General features: G+C 47.2%; 1 protein-coding gene and 2 long non-coding RNA genes across 5 annotated transcripts in view, besides 8 other annotated features; 1 reads left to right on the top strand and 2 right to left on the bottom strand.

Moving 5' to 3' along the window:
- GLI2 (GLI family zinc finger 2) overlaps positions 1 to 9,294 on the bottom strand; it is a 256,786-nt gene extending 247,492 nt beyond the window's left edge. For all 3 annotated transcript variants that reach the window (NM_001371271.1, NM_001374353.1, NM_001374354.1), the window contains exon 1: positions 8,877 to 9,294. The gene's annotated coding sequence lies outside the window, so the exon portion shown is untranslated. The remainder of the gene's footprint in view (positions 1 to 8,876) is intronic.
- Positions 3,567 to 4,208: an enhancer, noted in NCBI's record as "H3K27ac hESC enhancer chr2:121498530-121499171 (GRCh37/hg19 assembly coordinates)". NCBI's record gives its function as "activates a minimal SCP1, AML or CMV promoter by ChIP-STARR-seq in naive H9 embryonic stem cells {active_cell/tissue: H9 hESC(naive)}" and the evidence as "EXISTENCE:reporter gene assay evidence [ECO:0000049][PMID:30033119]".
- Positions 4,209 to 4,851: an enhancer, noted in NCBI's record as "NANOG-H3K27ac hESC enhancer chr2:121497887-121498529 (GRCh37/hg19 assembly coordinates)". NCBI's record gives its function as "activates a minimal SCP1, AML or CMV promoter by ChIP-STARR-seq in naive H9 embryonic stem cells {active_cell/tissue: H9 hESC(naive)}" and the evidence as "EXISTENCE:reporter gene assay evidence [ECO:0000049][PMID:30033119]".
- Positions 5,008 to 5,844: an enhancer, noted in NCBI's record as "H3K27ac-H3K4me1 hESC enhancer chr2:121496894-121497730 (GRCh37/hg19 assembly coordinates)". NCBI's record gives its function as "activates a minimal SCP1, AML or CMV promoter by ChIP-STARR-seq in primed H9 embryonic stem cells {active_cell/tissue: H9 hESC(primed)}" and the evidence as "EXISTENCE:reporter gene assay evidence [ECO:0000049][PMID:30033119]".
- Positions 5,845 to 6,682: an enhancer, noted in NCBI's record as "H3K27ac-H3K4me1 hESC enhancer chr2:121496056-121496893 (GRCh37/hg19 assembly coordinates)". NCBI's record gives its function as "activates a minimal SCP1, AML or CMV promoter by ChIP-STARR-seq in primed H9 embryonic stem cells {active_cell/tissue: H9 hESC(primed)}" and the evidence as "EXISTENCE:reporter gene assay evidence [ECO:0000049][PMID:30033119]".
- Positions 7,089 to 7,589: an enhancer, noted in NCBI's record as "H3K27ac hESC enhancer chr2:121495149-121495649 (GRCh37/hg19 assembly coordinates)". NCBI's record gives its function as "activates a minimal SCP1, AML or CMV promoter by ChIP-STARR-seq in primed H9 embryonic stem cells {active_cell/tissue: H9 hESC(primed)}" and the evidence as "EXISTENCE:reporter gene assay evidence [ECO:0000049][PMID:30033119]".
- LOC124907881 (uncharacterized) lies at positions 7,501 to 14,821 on the top strand. The gene is made up of 2 exons (XR_007087221.1): positions 7,501 to 8,601; positions 11,574 to 14,821. It is a non-coding gene; the product is annotated as an uncharacterized LOC124907881 (long non-coding RNA).
- Positions 7,590 to 8,090: an enhancer, noted in NCBI's record as "H3K27ac hESC enhancer chr2:121494648-121495148 (GRCh37/hg19 assembly coordinates)". NCBI's record gives its function as "activates a minimal SCP1, AML or CMV promoter by ChIP-STARR-seq in primed H9 embryonic stem cells {active_cell/tissue: H9 hESC(primed)}" and the evidence as "EXISTENCE:reporter gene assay evidence [ECO:0000049][PMID:30033119]".
- Positions 9,209 to 9,378: an enhancer, noted in NCBI's record as "experimental_52581 CRE fragment used in MPRA reporter constructs". NCBI's record gives its function as "activates a minimal promoter by MPRAs in K562 erythroleukemia cells, with activity observed for both the introgressed and non-introgressed 2:121493445 variant alleles {active_cell/tissue: K562}" and the evidence as "EXISTENCE:reporter gene assay evidence [ECO:0000049][PMID:34662402]".
- Positions 10,018 to 10,665: an enhancer, noted in NCBI's record as "H3K4me1 hESC enhancer chr2:121492073-121492720 (GRCh37/hg19 assembly coordinates)". NCBI's record gives its function as "activates a minimal SCP1, AML or CMV promoter by ChIP-STARR-seq in naive H9 embryonic stem cells {active_cell/tissue: H9 hESC(naive)}" and the evidence as "EXISTENCE:reporter gene assay evidence [ECO:0000049][PMID:30033119]".
- Positions 10,312 to 22,143, bottom strand: LOC124906073 (uncharacterized). The gene is made up of 3 exons (XR_007087219.1): positions 21,917 to 22,143; positions 20,782 to 20,954; positions 10,312 to 11,120 (listed from the first exon to the last, which is right to left on the bottom strand). It is a non-coding gene; the product is annotated as an uncharacterized LOC124906073 (long non-coding RNA).
- Between the last annotated feature and the right edge of the window lie 1,680 nt (positions 22,144 to 23,823).

Raw genomic sequence — 23,823 nt, 5'->3', positions numbered from 1 at the left:
CCAGTAAAAGCAAGTAACCACCAGAGCCACCTTATAGTCTCAGCTACTGTCCTGTGAAAGAGAGACCCTGCTCTAGAGCCTACTTCTAAGAGCTGTTTTGGAGCAGAAGCACCTCTGTTTTCAGCTAGTTTCCTTGCTGCAACAGCTGTCCAGGCAGCTGCAAGTGCTGCAATTGGCTGAAAATCCATTCCTGGACTGTCCCAGATCTGAGGGACATCATAGTAAAAAGACATTATTCCTCATCACCCCACCCTAAAAATCCTGGATAAAATGCAGATTCCTGGACCCACTCTGCAGGAATTCTCATTCAATGGGTTCTCCCTGGGGAACCTAAGATTCTGCAATATTTAACAAGCTTCCCACCTGAATCTCATCCAGGAGGCCCATGAACCCCACCTAGAGACCTTTGCAGCCTTATTCTCAGATGTGCCTCTTAATTTCTTGTTCTTGGGTACAAGCACATTTTAGGAGAAGAACAAAAATCTAATTCTAAAGGAATCTGGTAGTTAAAGTTTTAGCCATATAAATGTCTATCAGCATAAATATACATGTCGCACATCCCTCATTCACACTGAACAGCAGGAAGGGTAATCTAACATACTATACTGTGTATGTAAATTACTATATTATGTACCACATCTTCGGTAGATGAATGTACCTGAATTACATTCAAACTCTACAATCCTGTTCCAACTATTGATTCACATACCTGAAAAGTATGGAAGTAACAGAGTAGCTACTGAGTCCAATTTTTCTTTCAGTACATAAACAAGGCAACATATGCATTCTCTCAAGCCCAAGAGCACCAGAGATGTCCCCTCACCTTGATCTCCACAGACAGCGAGGGCCAGCCCTAAATATACTGTCACTGCCTGGACACACACAATGTATCATGACAGCACAACCCACAGCTGTCTGCAGAAACGTCTGAGTGATGTGCCTTCAACCTGTCATCAGACTGCAACGACCTCAATTTTTTGAGAAGTGAAGTCAAAACTCCACCCTTATCATCTTCAGAGATCCAAGACAAATTTATGTGTCAGCCCTTCCTTCACTGATCTTCAGCCTCGAGGAAAGTCTGAAAAGACCATCACAGGCTTCCGCTCTCTACCAATGTCCCCAAGGCCACTCCCATTTACACTGACCCTGTGACCACATCCCAGAGGTACCTGAGCACAGCGGCTGGCTAAGAAGAGTGGCCAGCAAGGAGAGGCAGGACATATTCCTTGACAGGCACCCAACTCTCCCCAGGGGGTACCCAAGACCTTCCCTTTCTCCAGACTCTGATCTTCCCACCCTACCCGCTGTCTTGACTCTTAGAGATGGCTGTCCAGTGGGCAGGGTGTGCTAGCTCAGAGGGTTTTGAAGCTGGGAGGACCTGAGAGATGACATCTACCAAGCCCCGCCCCCTTCCCAGAGATAGGCGAAGCAACTTGCACAGGGTCACCCAGCTATTGAGTGACTGGGTCTCCCAGTCCCTGGGGATAACTCCAAGGGGTTCGGGCTAATTATCTTTATATTGCAGCCATCCATCACTCTTGTGCTCTTCCTTAGCTTCTTCCAGAGGGAAACAGCCGGGAAGGATGGTATATATAAGAAAGTCTTCCTAACAGTTATCTGGGTAGTCCTCTGGCCCAACTTTCTACACCAGGGTCACCTTCATAGGCCGGTATTTAATGACTGGCTCTTAAGATGATTTCTTTTTTTATTTTTATTTTTTTGTAGAGACAGGGTATCGCTATGTTGCCCAGGCTGGCCTCGAACTCCTGAACTCCAGCAATCCTCCCACCTCAGCCTCCCCAAATCCTGGAATTACAGTGTTAAGATGGTCTTAACTAGCAAAGGACAAAGGACAAAGAAGCAGGAAGGGGAGCGGGGAGGCGGCACATCAGAGCCCTTTACCCTTCTCTACCTGGCAGTTACAGTTATTCTTCAAGACAAATTCAAATGGGAAGCCTTCCTTGGTCCCCAAAGCAGAGAGAGTTCAGTCCCACTGGATATGGTACATTGATGGTCACGATGGAATTATGTAAATGCATTTGTGTCCTCCCCCAGATAAAACTTGGTAAGTCTTCTTTCCCCTGCTCCTTAGGCCACTTGGTATGGTGAGCTGCAGATTCCCAGAGAATCAACAAATTAAGAGCTATTTTCTGGTCATCAAGGGTTGCTGCACTGCAAATATTTGCATACTAATCTCCCCATCTGAGGTTTAAAAATATGGACTTGCTTTTTTTAACTCCAACATAATGAATGAGTTTAAATATTAGAAGTTGAAATTATTAAGTAAATCATTTCACCTGCACAGCTTCTATTTGCATAACATTAATTCATGATGGCAGCTAAAACAAATTCGTCACATTCTATATATTAGAAGCTGATTTATGTAGGAATTGAAAAGAAATCATGAGCTCAAAATTACGTTGACATGATGTACGTGCTCAATGGAGAAAGATTTTTCTCTTTCCCTCTTTCCTTTTTTTTTAAAGTCATCCTAACAACTGAATTATGGTGAGATGGAAAAGGATTTGAGGAGAGAAAGGACTGGCACCTCGGAAAATGAATAATGCTACGGCCTCACGTGTGTGGCGGGCTCTCGGCGTGCGTACACACACACTCCAGTTATTAATGTCAAGTATGCCAAAGATACGCTGGAAAATCATTACCATTCATCGCCACTAACCGCCATTAAATTTCAATCAATTCAACTTAGCACAAGTGTACTTGAGCGGCCCTTACAGTTCCTTATAAATGTGGCTCAAAAGTCTGGCTGACTTACTGCATTGTCCAGCACACAAAGAAGCATTGCTAAGCGTCTGCTGAAGGGGCTATCTTGGACCCAGGGACGCTCTTTTAACATCAGGCATTCAAAGATCTTTTTTCTGAGCGCTAAGAGGTTTCGAATCCCTACAGGTCAAGACGAATGGAAGAGAGGACCGCCCTTCCTTTCCTGTCGCCGGGAGTGGACAAGGGCAGAAGGCGGCCTTAGTGATTACTGTCTGCAGATGCCTTACAGAAAAAGTTTCAGACGCCACCAAAAGTTTGGTCACGGGGCCTCTCTCTTCCCGGCTCCCGTGGAGTGCTCTCATTCACTTCGCCAGCTGTAAAGGCAACTGGAAGCCCCTCCTGGGGAAGCGGGCAAGAGGGCAGGCCAATGGGAAACGGGGTCGAGGAAGACCCGGGGCGCCCCTCGGAACCCGCGCCCTTCCCGGGTGGGAGCCGCTCGCGCGCTCCGGGCGCGGCTGTGGGGACCTGGCCCGTTGGCTTTCTTCCCGACTCGCCACGAGCAGAGTCCGGCCTCCCGCCACTCGCCGGCGGCGGCCGGTGTGCGGCTGCGACAATGTGGCCATTGTTTGGGAGCTGCAAACCAGGCCGGCGCGCAGGTGGGAGGGCCGCAGCCGCGGGCCCGGGGCGCTCGGGGCACGGAATGTCCCCCGGCCGCGGCACGGTCGGCGCCGCTCGGACACGCGGCCTCGCCAGCCAGCGCTCCGCGTGGCGGAAAAGCCGGCGCGGAGGGAGAGGAAGGTCCAGACGGCGGGGGCGGGGAGGAGGCGGAGGGAACGGGAGGGAAAGATGGGAAAAGATGAGAAAAGACAGAAAAGAGAGGGAGAGAGAAGGCGGAGGAAACGGAGGAGGGGGAAACGGAGGGAAAGAGAAGAAAGGAGAAGGGGAGAGAGAACGGAGAGGGAGAGAAAGGAGAGACCCAGAGAGAAGAGGGGGTGGGGGCAGGACAGAAGAGAGAGAAAGGGGAAGGAGAAAGAAAAAGACAGAAAGGACGGACGGATAGCTGAAGGGAGAGGAAGAGAGCCAAAGGAGGGGGACAGGCGGACATGTGTACAATAGAGGTGCACCACAAGCTGCCCAGGAAACCTCTGGGAAGAGCAAGAGTTCACCCTGTTTCCTAGAGGGAATGGCTCCAAACCCAGCCGAGTCAGCAAAGCGTAATCACATCAGGGGCTTTGCTTAATTACAGGTTTGGGCTGGGTCTGGAGGAAGGGAGATACTTAACTGTGTCCCAGGGAAGGCCCAGCACTCAAATGGTTTGTAAGTCTGGGAAATACAAACAACACCCCCCGCCCCACCTCCCCCAAGCCCACTGAGCCAGGACCCAGGAGGACATGGCGGGTAAGGGCTGCGGCGTGGTTGCATACAGGCTCAACCGGCACAGCCATCGCGGACAAGCTTTCAGAGTTCACTTGGGACAGGAGTGCAGGGCTGCGCCCGTGCTGCTCAGCCTGGAGGCCACAGGCCTGTGGAGTCCCCGCCTCAGCCTGCAGCCGGGCCACCCTCCCTCCTCCCTCTAGCTGCCTGCAGGAGGCCTGGGGCCCTCGGCTGCCCAAAGAGGGAATCAATCCCAATCCCGTGCTAATGAATAAAAAGTCCCCTTTATTTCACTGCTGTTTTTGGTTCATTAAATTTTCCACAGATTTGTAGAGAAGAAAACATAATCAATAAACCTTGACAAAAGTGAACGTGTGAAAAAGGCCAGAGAATGGAAAAGCGAGATAAAAGTGATATCCGATCACAGATTTCAGAGGCAGATGACGAGCTCGGGGCTGCAGAAGAATCTCAATGGACCATCACCCTTTTGCGGCTTTCCTTCCCTTTGCTGAACTCTTCATTCAAGACAATGGCAAACGCACTAAAACTTTTTTTCTTATGCTAATAGCTGAAACCCGGCACTCACAGTTAAAACACACTTCCCAGCAACCTGTTTTTTTTTTTTTAAACAACACACATGTGCAAGCACACACACAAAACATTATTCAATTTAAACCCAAATCCCCAAAACAGTTTAATAAGTACTCTTTGGTCACATCTTAAATGAGTTACTTTCCCCCATGTGTATGTTTTTTAAGAAACCAGAAACAACACAAACAGGATTATTGAGAATTACTGTGCTGATGAAAGAATTGGGGGAAAATAAGATATTAAATGCACAGAAAGTATACCGTTATCATCTGTGCATTTTCCCAGGTTTTAAATACAGTTTTGTGGGTTAAGGATGCTTTTGTCATCCTCTAAACCTAAAAATAATAATCAATGATTTTTTTTTTAATTCTTGATATTCCACAGCAAACCCTCAAATTAATTTCAGAGAAAATGATTAATGTTGAATCCGGTGTTGTGTGTTTATTTGAAAACCAGAAAAGTGTTGAAGGTGCCACTCTTTTTCAAAGGACACTCTCAAACATCAATGTCGGATGACCCTTTCTCAAATCTGTTAAACAAGCCTGAGGAAACAATTAGAGAGCAGTTTTTCCTCCCCGATTTCTTTAGAAGTGCAGGAGCAATTTCAGGAGCAACTGAAATCACTGTACATTCTGGTTGTTGGTACAATCACCTATTCTGCCTCTGAATTTTCTGGAATCTGAAAACACTGTTTCTCTCTTTGGCATTCTTCACGTGTTTCACTTGTCCATGCCTCTGACACTTAGTGAAAAGAAGAAAGGGGGGAAGTGCTCCCCCGGGTTCCTTTTCAAAGGGCCCTGGCCCAGCGGGAACAGCTGCAGCTGTCCACAGCGAGGTCCACCTGGCCTGGCTGCCCCTTGTCCACTAGGAAACAGGCTCTGGCCCAGGTAGAACCCCTTTCTCCTCCCCACAGCCTCCAAGAAGCAAGGCTGGTTTGCTCCACCTCCCTGCCGCAAGAGCCATGCAGATGAAAGGAAGCTGGGCTAAACACACTTTCCCCAGGAAAAGGCCAGCTGCCCTACCCAAAGAGTACACAAGGATGTAGGACTCCGATTCTAGGCTTTAACAAGCCAGCTGGGTGTGAGGGGGTCACACAAGCTTTCAAAGTGCACATGACAACCTCCTACTCCCATTTAAAGGGAACTGCTGGCATCTGTGGAGTGAAGTTTTCCCGTGGAGTACCCCCGGGGCAGGGGTGGGGGACAATGGAAGAAGGGTGTTTATTAGGCAAATATCCAATTTTGTCTGCCTGCCTGCTGAATCCCTGGTTTGCTAATCCAGCCCCAGGGGCTGCACTGTGTACAGGGCACTTGTGGGAGTACAAAAAGCGTGAAGTATTTGTGTATTTTTCAGTCTGCAGTGCAAACAAGCCAGCTACAGTACACAGCCCCCAAGACCCCCGCAGCCAGGCAATGAGCCACTGACCAGAAGCCCTGCGGCCCCCTCTTCTGACCAAGCAACTCAAAGGATTGACTCTGCATTCGGTGCTCTCTCCACCAGTGGACCAGAGCATCCCTGGGAGAGTGAAGTGGCACTCCACTCCAAGGCTGCCTGGCCACAAGGGCCTCGCTAACTCCACACAAGCTTCAAGGAAGCCACGAGTCAAGAGTCCCCTTCAAGGCCAGAGCAGAATGAGTTTGGGAGCAGCCCGGAAGTCTCTGCTGAAGGAATCTGAACCCACTGCAAATTCAGTCAAATCGATTCCCACAGAGGATAAAACCATCTCTAGCAGTCTTACCTTGTTCCTCGGTGGCTTGGGAGGCTCTTTCTACTATCATTCTAATTCTTTCTACCTATAATTCTAATTCTCTCCAAGAGGCTTTGCAAATAGACCGTTCTGACCACAGTCTCTCACTCAGATGCTAGCCCAACTGAAGGCTGGTTCACCTGAGGGATACCTCCTGGGCAGCTGGGCTCTTTCAAATGCAGGATCTTCCCTGTATTAGCTTAAATCCCCTAAAATCACGAAACAATTTCGTGAAACTGGCATATTTCTCGAAGCAGAGGAGAAAATAAAACCACCCTAAATCTTACCAAATATAATTAACTTTAAAACTCATCAGACAAGCGACAACTTTCCATATGGCTGGGCTTGAGTGGAATTCGAATCCCAGGGAAAAACATCTCCACAATTTCCTGTAACCCTCAAGAGAGAAGCAGCAAGTCTAGGAAAACAAAAGCAAGAACGATGAAGAAAGAGGCACAAGAAGCATAGTCAAAAAGAAGAGAAGGCCCCTGATGGATCTGGATTCCACATTCTAGAATGACTGCCCCAGGACAGACCAGAAGCTGGGAAAAGCCTAAATAAAGAGCCTCCAAACTCAAAGCAGCCAGGCATAGCCAAGGTGCCCCCCGTCCCTGTGGAGTCAGGCCCAGGTAGCCACACCGTGAGCTTCCCCCTAAACAAGCAACTGCAAAGCCGTTCCCAGGCCCCAGGGAGGGCCTGTCCCCAGACACAGGGAAACCCAGCCAAGGGAACTCCCAGCAAGGTAAGGAAATGGGCGGAGAGAAAGCTGGCAGGTGAGGTGGCTGGAACAAACTGGTCTCATCAGGGAGGCCTGTGACAAACCCGCCTATTCCTCCGCTTTCCCCGCTGTATATTTTGGATTTCACAGTTTATTTACTTTACTTTTTGGCACCGAGCCCCCTGAGCATGCCAATACAATATTTGTTTAAACACTATTTTATGCTGCTTGCGAGGGAAACGTTTACTTTCAAATTCTCCTACATCCCCCAGAGCCTCGTCTGCAAACAGCCTATGAGCGTTTTACAACTGCTCCCTTTATCTGAAGCTGTCGGGATTAAACCTTCACACGCCCGGCAAGAGCGGCGGAGAGGGGGCCCGGGACACCGCTGCGGCCACCGAGCTGCAAAGCCCGTGCCAGAGGTCGCGCACCGAGCGGGATGCCCGGGCTGGGGGACAGAGGGACGCCTACAAGACTCCCAGGGCGCGGGACCAGACAGTAGGGACAGGTCTACTTTTCCAGCTGGGATCAACTCTAGGAGCCACAGAACAATTACACAAAAGAGAAGGTAGTGGAAAGAGGCACCCTCGGGGGGGCTCGAGGTCCCCGAGAGCCTCAGCGACCGATCACCCAGGGTGAGGCGCACGGGCTCCATCCCCAGCTCCCCGCGCGGTAAAAGTCGGGTTTCCTAGGAAATGACAGCAGTTACCGCCGGGCTGAAAAGGCGCCGAGCTGGGTGGACTCCCAGCTCTCCAGCGCGGCGGGCGCGCTCACACTCACACACGCAAGCACACGCTCCCTCCCAGCTCCCCGCCCCCGCCCCGTCCGGGGAAAAGACTCCCCTCTCTAAACCCTTAATAGGATTGGCGCCCAACTCTCTCCGCGCCTCTCCCCATCCATCACATACAGATCAAGTTGCAGTAGTGGATTTTTCAAATTCCTCAGCAAATATACTTGTTGAGAGATTGTCGGGGGTGGGGAGAGACGATGAGTAGGGGGGCAGGGATGAAAGTGAGGTGGAAGGGGGAACCGGAGGACCCGGCAAAGGATTACGTGCGGATCCCTTTGGGAAGTCAAGCGGATCTCAGGGCCGAGGGCAGGAGAGGAGGAGAAGAGAGGCAAAGAGGGGGGGCCGAGGAGGAGAGCCCAGCAGAGGGGGAGGGGGCGGCCGGGCCGGGCGAGGGGGAGGAAGGATTGAGGAAGGAAGAAAGAAAGGCAGGGCTCCGGGACGCGCAGCGCGGAGAAGTGGAGTTCGAAGTTCTCAAGTGGCTGGCTGCAGCCCCTCCGCGCTCAGTACGCCCGCAGACACGCTCCCATGCCCACCTACGGCAGCTTCGGAGCATCCCAGCCTCCGATCCCACCCTCCACCCCCTGAAAAAACAGACCCCCGCCGGCGCGCGGAGGCCGGCTCGCTGTGCACCCCGAGAAGAGTGGTGCTCTCCCCCAGGTAGGGAGAGGGTGCAACATCGACCTCTGGCCACGAGCTCCAAGCCCCAGGACTCTCCTTACGTCCCCGCCCTGCTCGTCCAGAGCCCCAGGCGGGGTCGCGCCTACTAGCCTCTAGTCCCCCGAAGCCCAGGGCCCCGATCCCAAGGCCTAGGCGCCGGTACCCGGCCGAGGGACCCCCCGAGACGGCGCAGCATCCCAGTCGGCCCGCGCTTGGCCGAGGTGGGAGGCGCTTCGTCACGAAAAGCAAGCAAAAGAAGGCCAATGCAACTTTACCGAGAGAGACAAAAGTTTGCCTCTAGCACGCAGGTGGCCTCTCGGGCGCCGGGCGGTGGCTGTGGGCCCCCATCCCACCTTGGCTGGCGCGGCGACCCTCGGCTGGCTGCCTTGTGCCGGGGCTCCAGCCAGCCGGGGCGGGGCGGGCCAGGCAAGAGAGGGGACCGAGAGGCGGGCGGGCGCCGCGCAGCCCCTACCGCCGGCGAGCAGGCGGCTCCCCGAGGCTGCGGCGCGCCGCGCGGCCCAAGCTCTTTCCTCCGGCTCCTCCTGCGGCTCCTGGCCTTCCTCCGCGTTCGCAGTCGCAGCCGCCGCCGCCGCCCGCTCCTCCTCGAAGTCTCATTGATGGGAGTTTGAAAAAAAGTCCGCGGAGCCGTGCTGCCTCGGCTGGCAAGCGCCGGCACTTCTGCAATCCATCAGCGCCGCCGGACTGCGCAGCGCCCCCGCGCGCACGGTGCGGGCACACCCGGGCCCCAAGAACCCGCCAGCCAGCCCGCCCGCTCCCTGCCGGGGGACGCAGGGGGACCCGAACGCCGCCGGGGCGGGGGGAGGGGAAAGGGGGAGCACAGGGACTCTCCCCACCCAGCACCAAGGAAAGAAAACGCACCTACAAGGAAAGTTCGAGAAAGGAACCAAAGGACGCGCCAATCTCCGACACTTTTTTTAGACGACTAGGTGTGGGGGGGGGGGTTGGGGGTGTCGCTAACTCAAGTCAGATGAGCTCCGGAGCTGAGGGGCAAGGGCTGCTCTGTTTTCAATCTCTGAAATCCCCCCGCCCTCCCCACCTCCCACTTCCCTCCTCGGGGAGATGCCTGGGTCGCTGTTCCCAGGGCGCCCGCTTCTCTGGACGCCCGCGCGGAAGCCGGGGACGCCAGAGAAGGGACGCGGGGGCTGGGTCCACGCGGACCCTCTTCCCGCGGGCAGCGAGCGCAGGTGCCGGGGGTCCTGAGGCGTCCCCCGCCGCCGCTAGCCCTCGTCGCCATCTGAGCACACGCTGGCGAGAAACGAAGCAGCCTTCTAGGTTTGGTGCATGTGGCTTGCAGGGTGGGTTTTTGTTTTGTTGTGTTGTGTGTTTTAGAGACTCCACTCGAGCCGCTGAAGCCAGATGGAAGTAATCAGAACCCAACAACAACAGAGAAAGAAGGAAGAAAAAACTCCTCATTGAATTTTCTAGCCAAAGTGTATATGGGGCTGTGTGTGAAAGAACTTGCTTAAGCAAGCTCAGTGAGGAGCCCTGGGCCCTCAAGCCACACCACAGCCCGGAACTGGGCCGCCAGGCTTGGAGGAGAATTGGGGGCAGCTGGCTAAAGTGTCCTCCCCACACCCCCGGGCCTGCCACCCTCTCCAGGGCCCCTGGGCCTCACCCGAAGAGGGTCTTGGGGGGAATTTCTGGTTTTATTCTTCCTAACGTTTGTAGAACACTCTACCAAGTGCCAGGTGATGTTATATTTTCTTTGTATTATTGGACTTTCACAGCTCTGTAAGGAAGGTTCTCTTCTCGTGTTTTTACAGGTGGGAAGTCTGATGCTTTAAAAAGTTAAGTAACTAGTCTAAGGTCAGAGCACTCTGCCATCCTCCCAGAGCTTCGGGTGGTTGTACTGTAAGTTCAGTTAAATTTGCCCTGTTGGGCCGGGCGCGGTGGCTCACGCTTGTAATCCTAGCACTTTGGGAGGCCGAGGCACGGGGATCACCTGAGGTCAGGAGTTCAAGACCAGCCTGGCCAACATGGTGAAACCCCGTCTCTACTAAAAATACAAAAAATTAGCCAGGGATAGTAGCGCGCGCCTGTAATCCCGGCTACTTGGGAGACTGAGGCTGGAGAATCTCTCAAACCCCTTGGGAGATGGAGGTTGCAGTGAGCCATGATGGCGCCACTGCACTCCAGCCTGGGTGATGGAGCGAGACTCTGTCTCAAAAAAATAAATTAATTAAATTAAATTTTTAAAAAATTGCCCTGTTGAGGTGGGTGGAAGTGTCTCTCCCTTCAGCCCCTGTTCCTAAAATTGCATTTTATTTGAAATGCAAGGGACCCAATGCTACCCTCCCTGAGGGGATGTGACCTACACAGGCCCATTTCACCGGTGCAACCCTTTTTGTGGGTGGCTCTCTCCATATACCTTTTATCCTCTGCTAACTTTATTCTTTTACTTTTTAATCAAAGAGGATGCATTAGAACTTCATTCCTTAAGATCCTCCTTCCTCCTCCTGACATTCACTTATATGATGGAGCAACAATTTCTTCTTGACCTAGAGAAAAAAATATGCAGAAAAATATTAGAACAATTTGATGCTAATTTTGTTTGGGGGGAAAAGGTCGGCAGCATTTTTAAAAAGCGAAACTTGCATAAGCCAATGATTTAAAGAGAAGTTTGAAAGGGGCTTTTTCTTTAAAGATGATCAGATTCACCATTCCTCCGTGCTATTTGTTTAAATTCCTGCTGAGCTTTCAGAACACAGACTCTAAGGAGACAGAAAAAGTAAACTCTCCCTCCCCTCCTTGGCCATATTTTAATGACCCTATTCATATCTGCCCCATGACATGTAGGGAATCATTTCTCATTGCTGGAATATTAGCCGCGTTGGCTGATTACTTCATTATGAGCTTGTCTCTGTTGATTTCCTTGTGTTGTAAAGTTTGTGAAGAAGTTTAAACAAATCAATGTTTTAGGATATTTCCTTCTTCTCTGTTTTTCTTCTCAGACCAGCTCAACTCCTGCTGGACTCCAGGCACTCACATAACCTTTCCCGGCTTATTTTGGCAAGAAGATGGCTGTCGAGATGAAGACAGAATGTTTTTTGGTTGGAGGAGAACTCTGTAGACACCGTGCCTGAATCTCTAGATGGTCAGAAGTTTGGGCGCTGAAAAAAGCAGCAGAAGGTTTGGAGTGGAGGCAAACTGGTGTGGCCAGGGAAGCCTTCGACTGAGCGCTGGGACACCAGGTCCTAGTCCCAGATCTGGTACTAAGTGTATGACCTTTGGCCAGTCTGGTTCATTCAATCAGTACCAGGCACTGTGCTAAGTGGCTCGACACCACAGTGAGCAACACCTACAAGATCTTTCCCCTTAGGGAGCTTATGTTTCATTAATAACCACAAACAAACATATAATCACAAACTGGGTAAAGGAAAATCCACCGTGCTGTGGGAGCCGGTGATTGGAGACCTGAGCAAGCTGGGAGGTGAGCTTGGGGAGGGGAGTGGTACAGAGAAGGAGAACGCTTTCCTGGGGAGATGAGGTTGCACTGATAAGAAGGAATGAGGAATGAGGGAGGGTGGACTAGGAGAAGGGGAAGTGGAGTGTTCCAGTTCTTCCTTCTCCCTTTCTGTGAAATGGGCCTGAATGACGAGAAAAACCAGGCCCAAAAGGAAGCAGCTTGTTCATTATTTCCCCGTATTCTAGTGACTAGTCATAGAACAAATCACCCGCAAACTCAACGGAAGGAAACAACCATTTCTTATGTTCGTGGCTTCTGCACATCAGGATTTTGAACGAGGTATAACAGGGGCAGTTTGTCTCTGCTCCACAGTGTCAGGCCTCCACTGGAAAGCTTCAGGGCTGAGGCTGGGATCCTCTGAAGACTCTGGCTCCGCTGCCTGGCGGTCTGTGCTGACTGTTGGCTGGTGGGGGGCCTCAGTTCCTTTCCATGCACCTCTTCATGTGGTCTCTTTACTCAGGCTAGTTGGGGTCCCTCATAGCACGGTGGTAACTAATATGCAGGGCGAGCTTAACAAGAACCAGCCAGGGAGAAGGCCTTTGGTCTTCTATGAAACCTCGGCAGGCACACCGTATCACGTCAGTGCACTCTATTCTTCAGGGCAGACACAGAGATCTGCCTCGGTTAAGGGGAGGGAAAATAGACTCCATCTCTCTTCTTTTTTTTTTTTTCAGACGAGTCTTGCTCTGTTGCCCAGGCTGGAGTGCAGTGGCGCCATCTCTGCTCACTGCAACCTCTGCCACCAGGGTTCAAAGGATTCTCCTGCCTCAGCCTCCCAAGTAGCTGGGATTACAGGCACGCACCACTACACCTGGCTAATTTTTGTATTTTTTAGTAGAGATGGGGTTTCACTATGTTGGCCAGGCTAGTCTCAAACTCCTGACCTCAAGTGATCCACCTGCCTCGGCCTCCCAAAGTGCTGGGATTACAGGCATGAGCCACCACACCAGGCTAGACTCCATCTCTTGAGGGGGAGTGGCATGATTCTGAAAAAGCACCTGGGAGCAGAAAGGTTGCTGTGGCTGTTTTTGGAAAACACAGTCTGCTACACATGGCTAACTGGAGACCCGTGGAAGACTAGATAGGCTCTGAGATAGGTGTACTGCTTCATGGTTAGGCTACAAAGCCTGTGTCTTCATCCACTCAGGCTGCTATAACAAAACACCCTAGACTGGGTAATTTATAAATGACAGAAATTTACTACTCACAGTTCTGGAGTCTGGAAAGTCCAAGATCAAGGCACCAGCAGATTCAGTGGTCTGGTGAGGGAGTGCCCTGCTTCATAGATAGCACCTTCTTGCTGAGTCCTCACATGGAGGAAGGGGTGAACAAGCACCTTCTTTTGTGAGGATACTAATCCTATACATGAAGGCTCTGCCCTCATGAGCTAATCACCTCCTAAAGGCCCCACCTCTTAATATCATTGCATTGGGGATTGTTTCAATGTATGAATTCCCTGGACATGCCCCCATGTCCATGGGGACATGAACATTCGACTATGGCAGCCTCATAGCAAGCACTTAGGAGTTCTAGAAAGAATCAAGAGACCCAATCCCTACCCTTAAGGAGCCTACACTCTCAAGAGATACATAGATTTGGCCGTGATTAAAGGACACAAAACGGTGCACTGAGGAGTGGGCTGGGTAGCCAGTTCCCACCTGGATAGGGTGGACTAAACAGCCACTCAGTAGCCAGAGAGGAGTGGCAGGGAGGGTGTCCATACAACAAATACGGACCAGTCCCAAGCGTGGATCCTGTCCATCTGCTGTCCTTTCAGGGCTCCTGAGATGGCCCTCAGCCTCACCCTCCACTCCACCTCCCATAGACTCTGCAGAGGGAGCCACTAGTCTCAGGCTATGTCTGTTATCACAATGCGAGTACATCTGAGAGGGGCAATCCAGAACCTTTCGGGTGATACTACTTAACCACTGTGAGGAAATTTACAGACCTTTTCCAAAGAGTGGACTTCTAAAGGAGTAAGAAAAGTGAGGATGCTACCTGTGGGGGCACTACTACAGGGACAGTTACACAAAGGGAGGATGCCAGGCGGGCCAAACACCAGCAAGCATTTCTCATTTGCAACCTGAATTTTCAACCCTCTCCCAGACAACTTTGTGGAATAAAGCAATGTAGAGATGCACACAAGGGGTTGTACAAACTTGGAAGATGTTAGGGACCCCCCCCCCCGTGCCCACCCCGCCAACCACAGAAGCAACTGGCAAAACCTCTTTCCTCTTCAGGATTGCCCTGGAGGACACAGCTGGGAGAGAGTCAAGTGCAGATGTGCCAAAACTCTTTGGCTAATGAACTCATGCACGCATCCATGCATTCATTCATTCATTCACTTAATCATCTGTGTTGAGCTCCTACTATGTGCTTTGCACTTTAGAAATAAAAAGATCAGCTGGGCGGGGTGGCTCACGCCTGTAATCCCAGCACTTTGGGAGGCCTGAGGCGGGTGGATCACGAGGTCAGGAGTTCGAGACCAGCCTGGCCAACATGGTGAAACCCCGTCTCTACTAAAAATACAAAAATTAGCTGGGTATGGTGGCGCGTGCCTGTAATCCCAGCTACTCAGGAGGCTGAGGTAGGAGAACTGCTTGAACCGGGACCTGGGAGGCGGAAGTTGCGGTGAGCTGAGATCACACCATTGCACTCCAGCCTGGGCAACAAGAGTGAAACTCTGTCTCAAAAAGATAAATAAATAAATAAAAAGATCAATGAGCTATGGTCCTTGCCTGTCCTCTACCCTGTAGTCCCCTGGCTGGGTAATACTCTCACAGGCCCCTCTGTCAGCCCAGAGTGAAGGGCCATGAGGGTAGATTATAAGTGGGAGGGACTAGGGAAGTGGGCCAGAGGACACTGCTGCAGCCGTCCTGGGGTGGGGAGGCAGCAAAATCAGCAGGGCTCAGAGATCCAGTTCCCAAGAACTGTTCTCAAGATACAATGGGTTTCTTAACAAAATTGAAAAAGATAGCATCCTCTCACAGCCACTAATGATTCTAAGAAATATCAACAGTCCTCACTACCACATGATAATGACAGATACTACTTCAAGACAATTTAAAAAGGAATAATTCAAAACATCTAATGAAAACATGATGGAATAGTTATAAGGTACTAGACTGGCCTCCACATGGATCTAAGGATAGCCACTCCCTGCCCATTTGCAGTGTATCAAATTGCATGTAAGTGAGTCACCTCTCTTAGGAGGGGGCAATGAAGAGGCAGCGTGGGAGATGGCCGGTTTCTAATACTCCCACTTGGGTTCCATCCTCTCCACTCGTCTCCAGCAGAAGGAAGATAACGTGGAAGTCACTTGAAATGCACTTCATTAAAGTGCATTTCAATCCGAACCTCCCCCAAATGTATATAGATCATTTTTCTCCTTCAGCACCTCCTCTGTTATTCATTATTTTATCAGCATTTCAACTTGTCTTTAAATGTTCAGTGTCAGAGGTTTGCTTTGTGTCTGTGTTACTTGGTGAGCTTTGTTCCGCCAGTAATCAACTGGGGAGAGGCAAGTTCTCACTGTCTTTTGAATAAGTGGAAGGAGAGAGAGAGCTGGAAGAGTCCCAGATAGCAAAGTAGAGGCAGAAAATTGGTTCACAAAGGCAGAAGTTGGTCCACAGCTAAGGCTAGCCCACGTGAGTGTATTGGATAGCAAGTTTTCTCCCTGAAAATTAACGTATAAATCAAAGGTTTTTATATTAATAAGTAAAACCAATCGAAGATAAAACAGAAGATCCCAATTATGATAGTAAAGGAAATGAAAGTGTAAACTAACTAGACTCGTTAAAAAGAAGTCCAAAACCTATATGAGAAAAACGATAACACACTACTGAAACACATAAAAGTAGACTTGAACAACTGTAAAGAAATATATTCTTATTTAGGCAGATTCAGCATCATAAAGGAGTTAGTTCTCCCTAGATTAATATATAAATGATTGCAATCCAAAAAATAAAAATACCATCTTTTCTTGGAGGGGAGGAGTAGGCTAGATAACTTAATTTTGAAGTTCATTGGGATGAAGAAAAAAGGAAGAATATCCAGGAAAAATCCTCAAAAGAGAAGCAACTTGGAGGGAGGGGAGAACCCTATCAGCCCTACCAGACCTTAAGACATGTTATAAAGCCTCCATAGTTAAACAGCTTGGTAATGATGAATGAATAAAAAGACCAATGAAATGGAACACAAAATTCAAAAACAGACTTAATTGTGTATGGAAATTTCCATTTTGATGAAGGCAGCATCCTGAATGAGTGAGTGAAAGACGTGCTTTTTAGTAAGCTGTATTGGGATAACCAGATAACAAAATGGAAATGAAAACTCTGATGCACACACACAACTTGCATCACACTGTACACCTGCATAAGTCAAACTTAGATCACGTTGTACGCCAGTATAAATTCCAGATGTAATCATTATTTAGATGAAAGAAAATTAAACTGTGCAAATACTAGAAGAAAGCATGAGTAAATTCTACTAGAACCTGCGAATGGGGAAAATTTTCCTAGCTATGACTCAAAATCTAGAAATAAAAAGAAAAATACTAATGTTAGATTACATTTAAAAAAAAATGTGAACACCTTCATGGGAAATACTAAAAATACTAAAAAAGTAAAAAGTCAAATGACAAACTAGTAAAACTATATGTAACTTATTACAGAGAAAAGTTACTATAACTTATGTATTTAAAAAAAAACTTCTAAAAATACAGAAAAATGTAACAACGTTATACAAGATGTCAGTTCTCAGAAAAAGACCTACAAATGGCTCTTCTGTATGTGAAGAGATGCTCACTCTCTCATAAGAGGAATACAAATTAAAGTTAGACCAAAATACTATTTCTCACATATTAAATGCAGAAAACCCCAGCCGGGCACGGTGGCTCATGCCTATAATCCCAGCACTTTGGGAGGCCAAGGCGGGCAGACCATTTGAGGTCAGGAGTTCAAGACTGGCCTGGCCAACATGGTGAAACCCCATCTCTGCTAAAAATACAAAAATTAGCTGGGCGTGGTAATGGGTGCCTGTAATCCCAACTACTCGAGAAGCTGAGGCAGGAGAATCGCTTAAACCTAGGAGGTAGAGGTTGCGGTGAGCCAAGATCACACCATTGCACTCCAGCCTGGGCAACAAGAGCAAAACTCCATCTCAAAAAAAAAAAGAAAGAAAGAAAACCCGAAAGCTTCACTACATACTCTGTTGGTGAGGCTGTAGGGAAACAGGAATTCTCATACACTGCTGGTGGAAATGCAATGTATGAGAACCCCTATCAAGAGAAATTTGGCAAGTCTAGTAAAATCACTTAGGCATTTACTCTTTTGACCTACTCATTTCTAGGTATCTATCTCAAACACAATTCAAAAAGTCATACAGAGACGACTATTAATAGCAGCCGTATTCATAATATCAAAAAACTAGAAGCAACCCAAATATCTCCATGTGAAGATAGATTGAACTATAGGTGTTATATAGTTATAGTATAGTATATCTTCACACTGGAATATTATACAGCTGTAAAAAGAAAAGAGAAAATACCTTTATATGTATTGTGAAAGAAGTAAGGTGGGGTAAAATATATAGTATATTAGTGCTTTTTTAAAAAATGGGGCCTTGCTGTGTGGCCCAGGCTGGAGTGCAGTGGTGCAGTCATGGCTCACTGTAGCATTGACTTCCTGGGCTCAAGCAATCTTCCCACCTCAGCCTCCTGAGTAGCTAGGGCTATAGGCATGTCACCATGCCCGGCTAATTTTTAAATTTTTTGTAGAGATGAGGTCTCTCTTTGTTACCCAGGCTGGTCTCAAATTCCTGGCCTCAAGCAGTCCTCCTACCTTGCCCTCCTAAGGTACTGGGATTACAGGTATGAGCCACTGTGCCTGGCCATATACTACTGTTTATACACACAGGATTTGTTTATATTCTTAAGTAGATAAACCATAGAATGTTTTAAAATTATCTATGGGGGCAGTGAGGGAATAAAATGGAAGGAACAGAAATGGAAGCTAGACTTCTTTGAATATATCTTGGGTTTTTAGACTTGACTTCAGAAACATGAAAAGAATTTACATGATTATAATATTAAAATTTTATTTTTTGTAGTATAAAGGATATATTTTTTTATTTTATAAAAATAATGTAATTATTTTTTAAAAAGTAATCCCCAAAAGTGAAAGTAAAATGAAACAAATGAGCATAAATATGTGTCTAGTTAGTAGATACAAAGGGACAAAAATTCTATGTGACTATCAAACGTACTAATTTGACTGCACATGACTGTGGATATGCTTTTAGGACAAAAGGAACTGGTTATGTGGAAAACAAACTGTTTTCAGTAATTATATTGTTGGTAGAGTGTTGATATTGTTCTCAGATAATGAATATATAGTATGAAATCATGCAAATTAGTAATTATGTTAGTATGATGGATAATTAGAATTGTTCAGCATGGGAGAGAGGAGAAAGAGAAGTAAAATTAATAAAGTTAAACTCTATGGTTCTAAATTTGAATTGGAAACATCATTATGAACTCATGAGTATTTTATCTTTTTTTAAAATTATGTTTCTTAGCCCTGTCCACTGAAAAGTCTTAAAAACAATGATCAACCCAATAGCAGTGAGCACCCTGAGAGTCTAGATTTGGTTTCTAAATACCATTTCTCACTATAAAGAACCAGAACTCCTTGGAGAAATGATTGATTCTAGGTTTGGGAAGAAAATGCCCAAGAGGAGCCTGCTATGTACCCATGTCTGTGTCCATTACCAATGTGACAGTATTTGGTAATGGAGCTTTTGAGAGGTAATTGGGTTTAGATGAGGGATTCACGATGGGATTAGTGCCCTTACTAGAAAACCAAGAGATTTTCTCTCTCCCTCTCTCTCTCCCTGCTCCCCCTCTCCATCTCTCTCCATGCATAAGCACCAAGGAAAGTCCATGTGTGCACACAGCAAGAAGGCAGCTGTGTACAAGCCAGGGAGGGGACCTCAGCAGGAACCACATCTGCTAGTACCTGGATCTTGCACTTCCCAGCCTCTAGAATGGTGAGAAATAAATTTCTGTTGTTTAAGCCACCATCCTGTGGTTTTTTGTTACAGCAGCCCGAGGTGACTAAGACAAAACCTGATATTGTCATACCAGAAAGGAAGGCAGCTATCAAAGACAACTAGAGTTGTGTCAGAGGACTCAGGGCCAATTAAAAAGGCTTCCCTGACCAAATGTGGGACACGTGAGTTTGCCAATGGATTGTACACATCACATATCTTTAGATCCATGCACATAGAAAGCCACTTGGAAAAAAGTTCATCTCAGTGGTTTCCTTGGACCTGTGCTTTTCATTACCCACTAGCCATGCATGACTACGGAGCCCTTCAAATGTGGCTAGCCCAGCTGAAGAACCATATTTAAAATTTTAGATGTAAAAGAAAATCTTTTAAGTGTGTTTGGAACAACCTGGGTATGTGACTTTACATTTTCCACTATAAATTTTGTGAAATCTGAATGCAAGTCAACTATTTCTGATGAACATTTAAGATCTGAATTGAGTGTAAAATACACACTGGATTTTGAAGGTTGAATACAAAAAAAAAAGATGGAAAATTGCATTTTTTTAATGTTGACTACATGTTAGAATGATAGTACTTTGGAAATACTGGGTTAAAAATATATCATTAAAATTAATTTCAGCTGTTTTTCATTTTCTCATAAGGCAACTAGAAAATTTTAAATTACGTATGTGGCTGGCATTATATTTCTGTTGCATAATGTTGTCTTAGAGGATGCTATCATGATTTGATAAGTAAGAAATAAAGTGGAAAAATCAAATGTTTGTCTTGATTTTCCTATACTAACTGTACCTCAGAGTAACCAAATAGTTAATAAAGGTAAGTTTCTTCTTTTAGAAGAAGTATTCTAGTTAATAAATGAGGAGGGAATGACAGGATCAGACATTTTGCAACTCCTAATGGCTTGATGGATCTGGGCTGCCAGTACCCCCCAAACAGGGACCTGTGAATCTCCTGATGGAAGGAGACGGCACACCTATGAAGTATTCTTGTTGAAAAAAAAGCAAACTTGTTTCTGGTCATCCTGTGGAGACTTTTAATCTAACTGCAGTTTAGTAGAAGTTTAGGGGATAGAAGAACGTGTTAAACACTACCACAGAGACACAGTACAGTCTCCTCAATAAATAAATTTCAAGGGCATAAAAAGCAGTTGGAGGCAAAGCTAAAAATTTAGAGATTTAAAAGACATAACAACCAATTGCATTGATGAATCTCATTTAAACTAAATGAACTGAAGAAAAAAAAAGTATAAGGCAATAGGGCAATTTGTTCGCTGACTGGAGGGTTGTTGACAATAAAGAATTATTGTTGATTCTTTAGATGTTGCCATTGCTATGGTGTGGATATCTGACCCTCCAACTCTCATGTTGAAACTCGATCCCCATGGAAAAACAAAGTCAGTGGAAAAATTAAAAACAGAAAGAAAGAGAGAAAGAGAAAGGAAAAGAAAAGAAAAAAGTTCATTCCTCAGTGTTGGAGGTGAGGCCTAGTGTGAGGTGTTTGGGTGTCATGGGGGTGGATCCCTTGTGAATGGCTTGGAACCCTCCTGAAGATAATGACTGTGTTGTCTGTTAGTTCCCAAGAGCCTGGCACCTTCCCCATCTCTCTCTTGCTTCCTCTCTCACCATGGGATGGGATCTCTGTCCACGCTGGCTCATCTTCCCTTCCACCATAAATGGAAGCAGCTTGAGGCCCTCACCAGATGCAGATGCTGGTGCCATGCTTCTTGTACAGCCTGCAGAACCATGAGCCAAATGAACTTCTTTTCCTTGTAAATTACCCAGCCTCAGGTTTTCTTCTACAGCAACATAAAAACAAAGACAGTCATATATTTGGGTGGTTTTTTTTTAAGAGTCCTTATCTTCTAGCCATACATATTGAAATATTTATGAGTGAAATTATATAATGTCTGGGATTGGCTTCCAGATGATCTTGGATGGAGTGAGTGGTGGAGATACAGATAAAATAAGATCAGCCATGAGTTGATGATTGATTCAGAGTGATGGGTTCATGCAGTGTATTGTGCCTGACCTGTTTGAAATTTTCAATAATAAAAGTTTTTTTTAATTCCAAAAATATATATAAATAAATAAATAATGAAAATGGGTGAGTCAGATTTTAAAAAAGGAGTTCCGGATTAATATATAATAATATATAATATATATATAATTATATATATATTATATATATAATTATAAATATATATATAATTATATATAATTATATATATTATATAATATATATATAATATATATATAATTATATATATAATTATATAATATATATATAATTATATATATTATATATATAATTATATAATATATAATATATATAATTACATAATTATATATAATATATAATAAGGAGTTCTAAATTCTTTAGAAGGCATGCAAGGGACTTCAGGATGGGGTCCTGTGCTGCTGTCTCATGTAGCACACTGTGATTCCCCTGTCCCCACACCTTTGAACTGGTGCTGCCTCTCTCTGAAAGGCCCTTCACCCTCTTTTCTACTGGAGAGTTCCTATGCAGTCTTCAAAACCCTGCTCAATGTTCATCTCTTCTGGGATGCTTTCCCTGACTCCTCCAGACAAAGTGAGGCAGTCCCTCACTCTGTCTCTTTAGGGAGTTTGCAGCAGCTGTGACAATGTGTTGTTGACCTGTGGAGGTCCCACCCCTACCGTGCTGCCTTCACTTGCTCTCTGAAAGCAAGATCCTGTTAAGAGCTCTGCTGAGGTCTCTAGCTTAGAGGACAGTGCTTACCCCTCAGAAGGTTCTCCGTGCAAGCTGAGTGAGTAAACAGGTATTCCACTCTGACCAGCCCCTCAGTCCTGACTGCAGGGCACTGCAGCTTTCCACTTCCTTCGGTGCTTTGTTTAACACATCCAGCCCTGCTACATCTCGCCTGACTCCAGTCTAGAAACCTTCATTTCCTCACAGCCTGGCTGTTAGGAGTATTGGATACACAGGCATGACCACAGTTTGAAATTCCAAAGACAGGGAACAGTATCTTTTTATAGCATGTTCAGAGGGACAGAGGCAGTGCTGGGGCCAGTGGTTCCCAAGGGCAGGAACATTGTCTCGTTTATCTTTGTTGTGTCATTTCCTGGATGACCCCCAGTGGGTTCTCCCTGAGGAATGTTAAGCCAGACATTGAGGAAAGAGAGAATCACCCGATTCTGACGTCGCACCATTCTAAACAATACTAATGATCTTCAGCACCAAGGGGACTGAACAAATAGGAGTAAGAGGAAAGTGGCCTCATCGTGGCTGAGAAGGTCATCAGAGAATTGAGCCAAGATGAATAATATCTTTTCCTCACATCCGGATAAATCACAGTCCAGAGTACCATGAAAACTTGTGGGCAGGGATGCAGAATTGCTCCCTACAACTCTCTAGGAAGTGCGAAGCCTGGGAGAGGGGCCAGAAGATGGAATAAATGTCTGGGAGAAATGCTCTCTGCTTCTTCAAACGAGGCAAAGATGCAGACTGAGAACAGATAACCAGATTGCTTGATGGTAGATCCTGACGCGAGTCCCGGATGGCGGATGGTGTATGAGCCCCACCCAGAGCCCCTCACCCGGGGGGCGGGCAGGAGCAGGAGAGACACGGTTGGTGGATTTGTAGCTGGAGATAGTCCAACAACTGTAGGTGGGTGAGGTCTGGGCAAGGAATTGCTGCCCCGGGGAGCCAGGCAGGAGTGTCACCTGACTGCTCAGCCCTGCCCTGTTCTGCAGTTTTGCTAGTGACTTACATGAAGACAGAGCAAGGCTGCTGATCATACATGGGGATGACACAAAGCTGGAATTTAATTCTTGGGATGTAGAATCAAGATTTGCAAAGATAAAGACCCATCACCCTAGAAGAATGAGAAGAAACTGGCAAAATAAAATCTAAAATTCTGAGCCTCACGCAACCCACTCTATAAGGAAAGAATGGAGAGCTCTGGCTAAACACCATGCTTGTGCAGGTAGCAGGTCGGGGGAGAAAAAACCGAGTGTCCTCAGTTCAACCCAGACTTTTAAACACTGTCACGAAAGCTGGTGGGCTGCACTTTAGAGCAGCGTCCCAAACATGTTTTCGTGGGCCACCTCCATGATGCTTGCCGTGACTGCAGACCACCTGTGCTCTTGGTAACCTTTGTTTATTCATTTATTTATTTATTTACTTTATTTGATTTTTGAGACGGAGTTTCGCTCTTGTCACCCAGGCTGGAGTGCAATGGCACTATCTCGGCTCACTGCAACCTCTGCCTCCCAGGTTCAAGAGAGTCTCCTGCCTCAACCTCCTGAGTAGCTGAGATTACAGGTGCCCACAGGCTAATTTTTGTATTTTTAGTAGAAATGGGATTTCACCATGTTGGCCAGGCTGGTCTCGAACTCCTGACCTCAAGTGATCTGCCCGCCTCAGCCTCCCAAAGTGCTGGGACTACAGATGTGAGCCACCAAGCCCAGCCTCCTCGTAACCTTTAGGTCAACTCAATTCCTTGTAAAGGAAACTCTAGGTAAGGCCAGAATGCTTGCCATAAATAGGAGGCATGCAGACATCCAAGGGCCAAACTACTGCTTTTAAAGCATTTGTCTGTGGACACCTACAGGTCGTCTCCCCTGCCACCTGTGGTTTGTGTGCTCTCTCTAGGGAAACAGAGGCCCAACCCAGGGGAGTAAGTG

Source organism: Homo sapiens, chromosome 2 (genome assembly GCF_000001405.40).
Source record: "Homo sapiens chromosome 2, GRCh38.p14 Primary Assembly".
Lineage (NCBI taxonomy): Eukaryota > Metazoa > Chordata > Mammalia > Primates > Hominidae > Homo > Homo sapiens.
The sequence above is the reverse complement of the archived record's forward strand: the minus strand, read 5'-3'. Positions and strand labels throughout refer to the sequence as shown.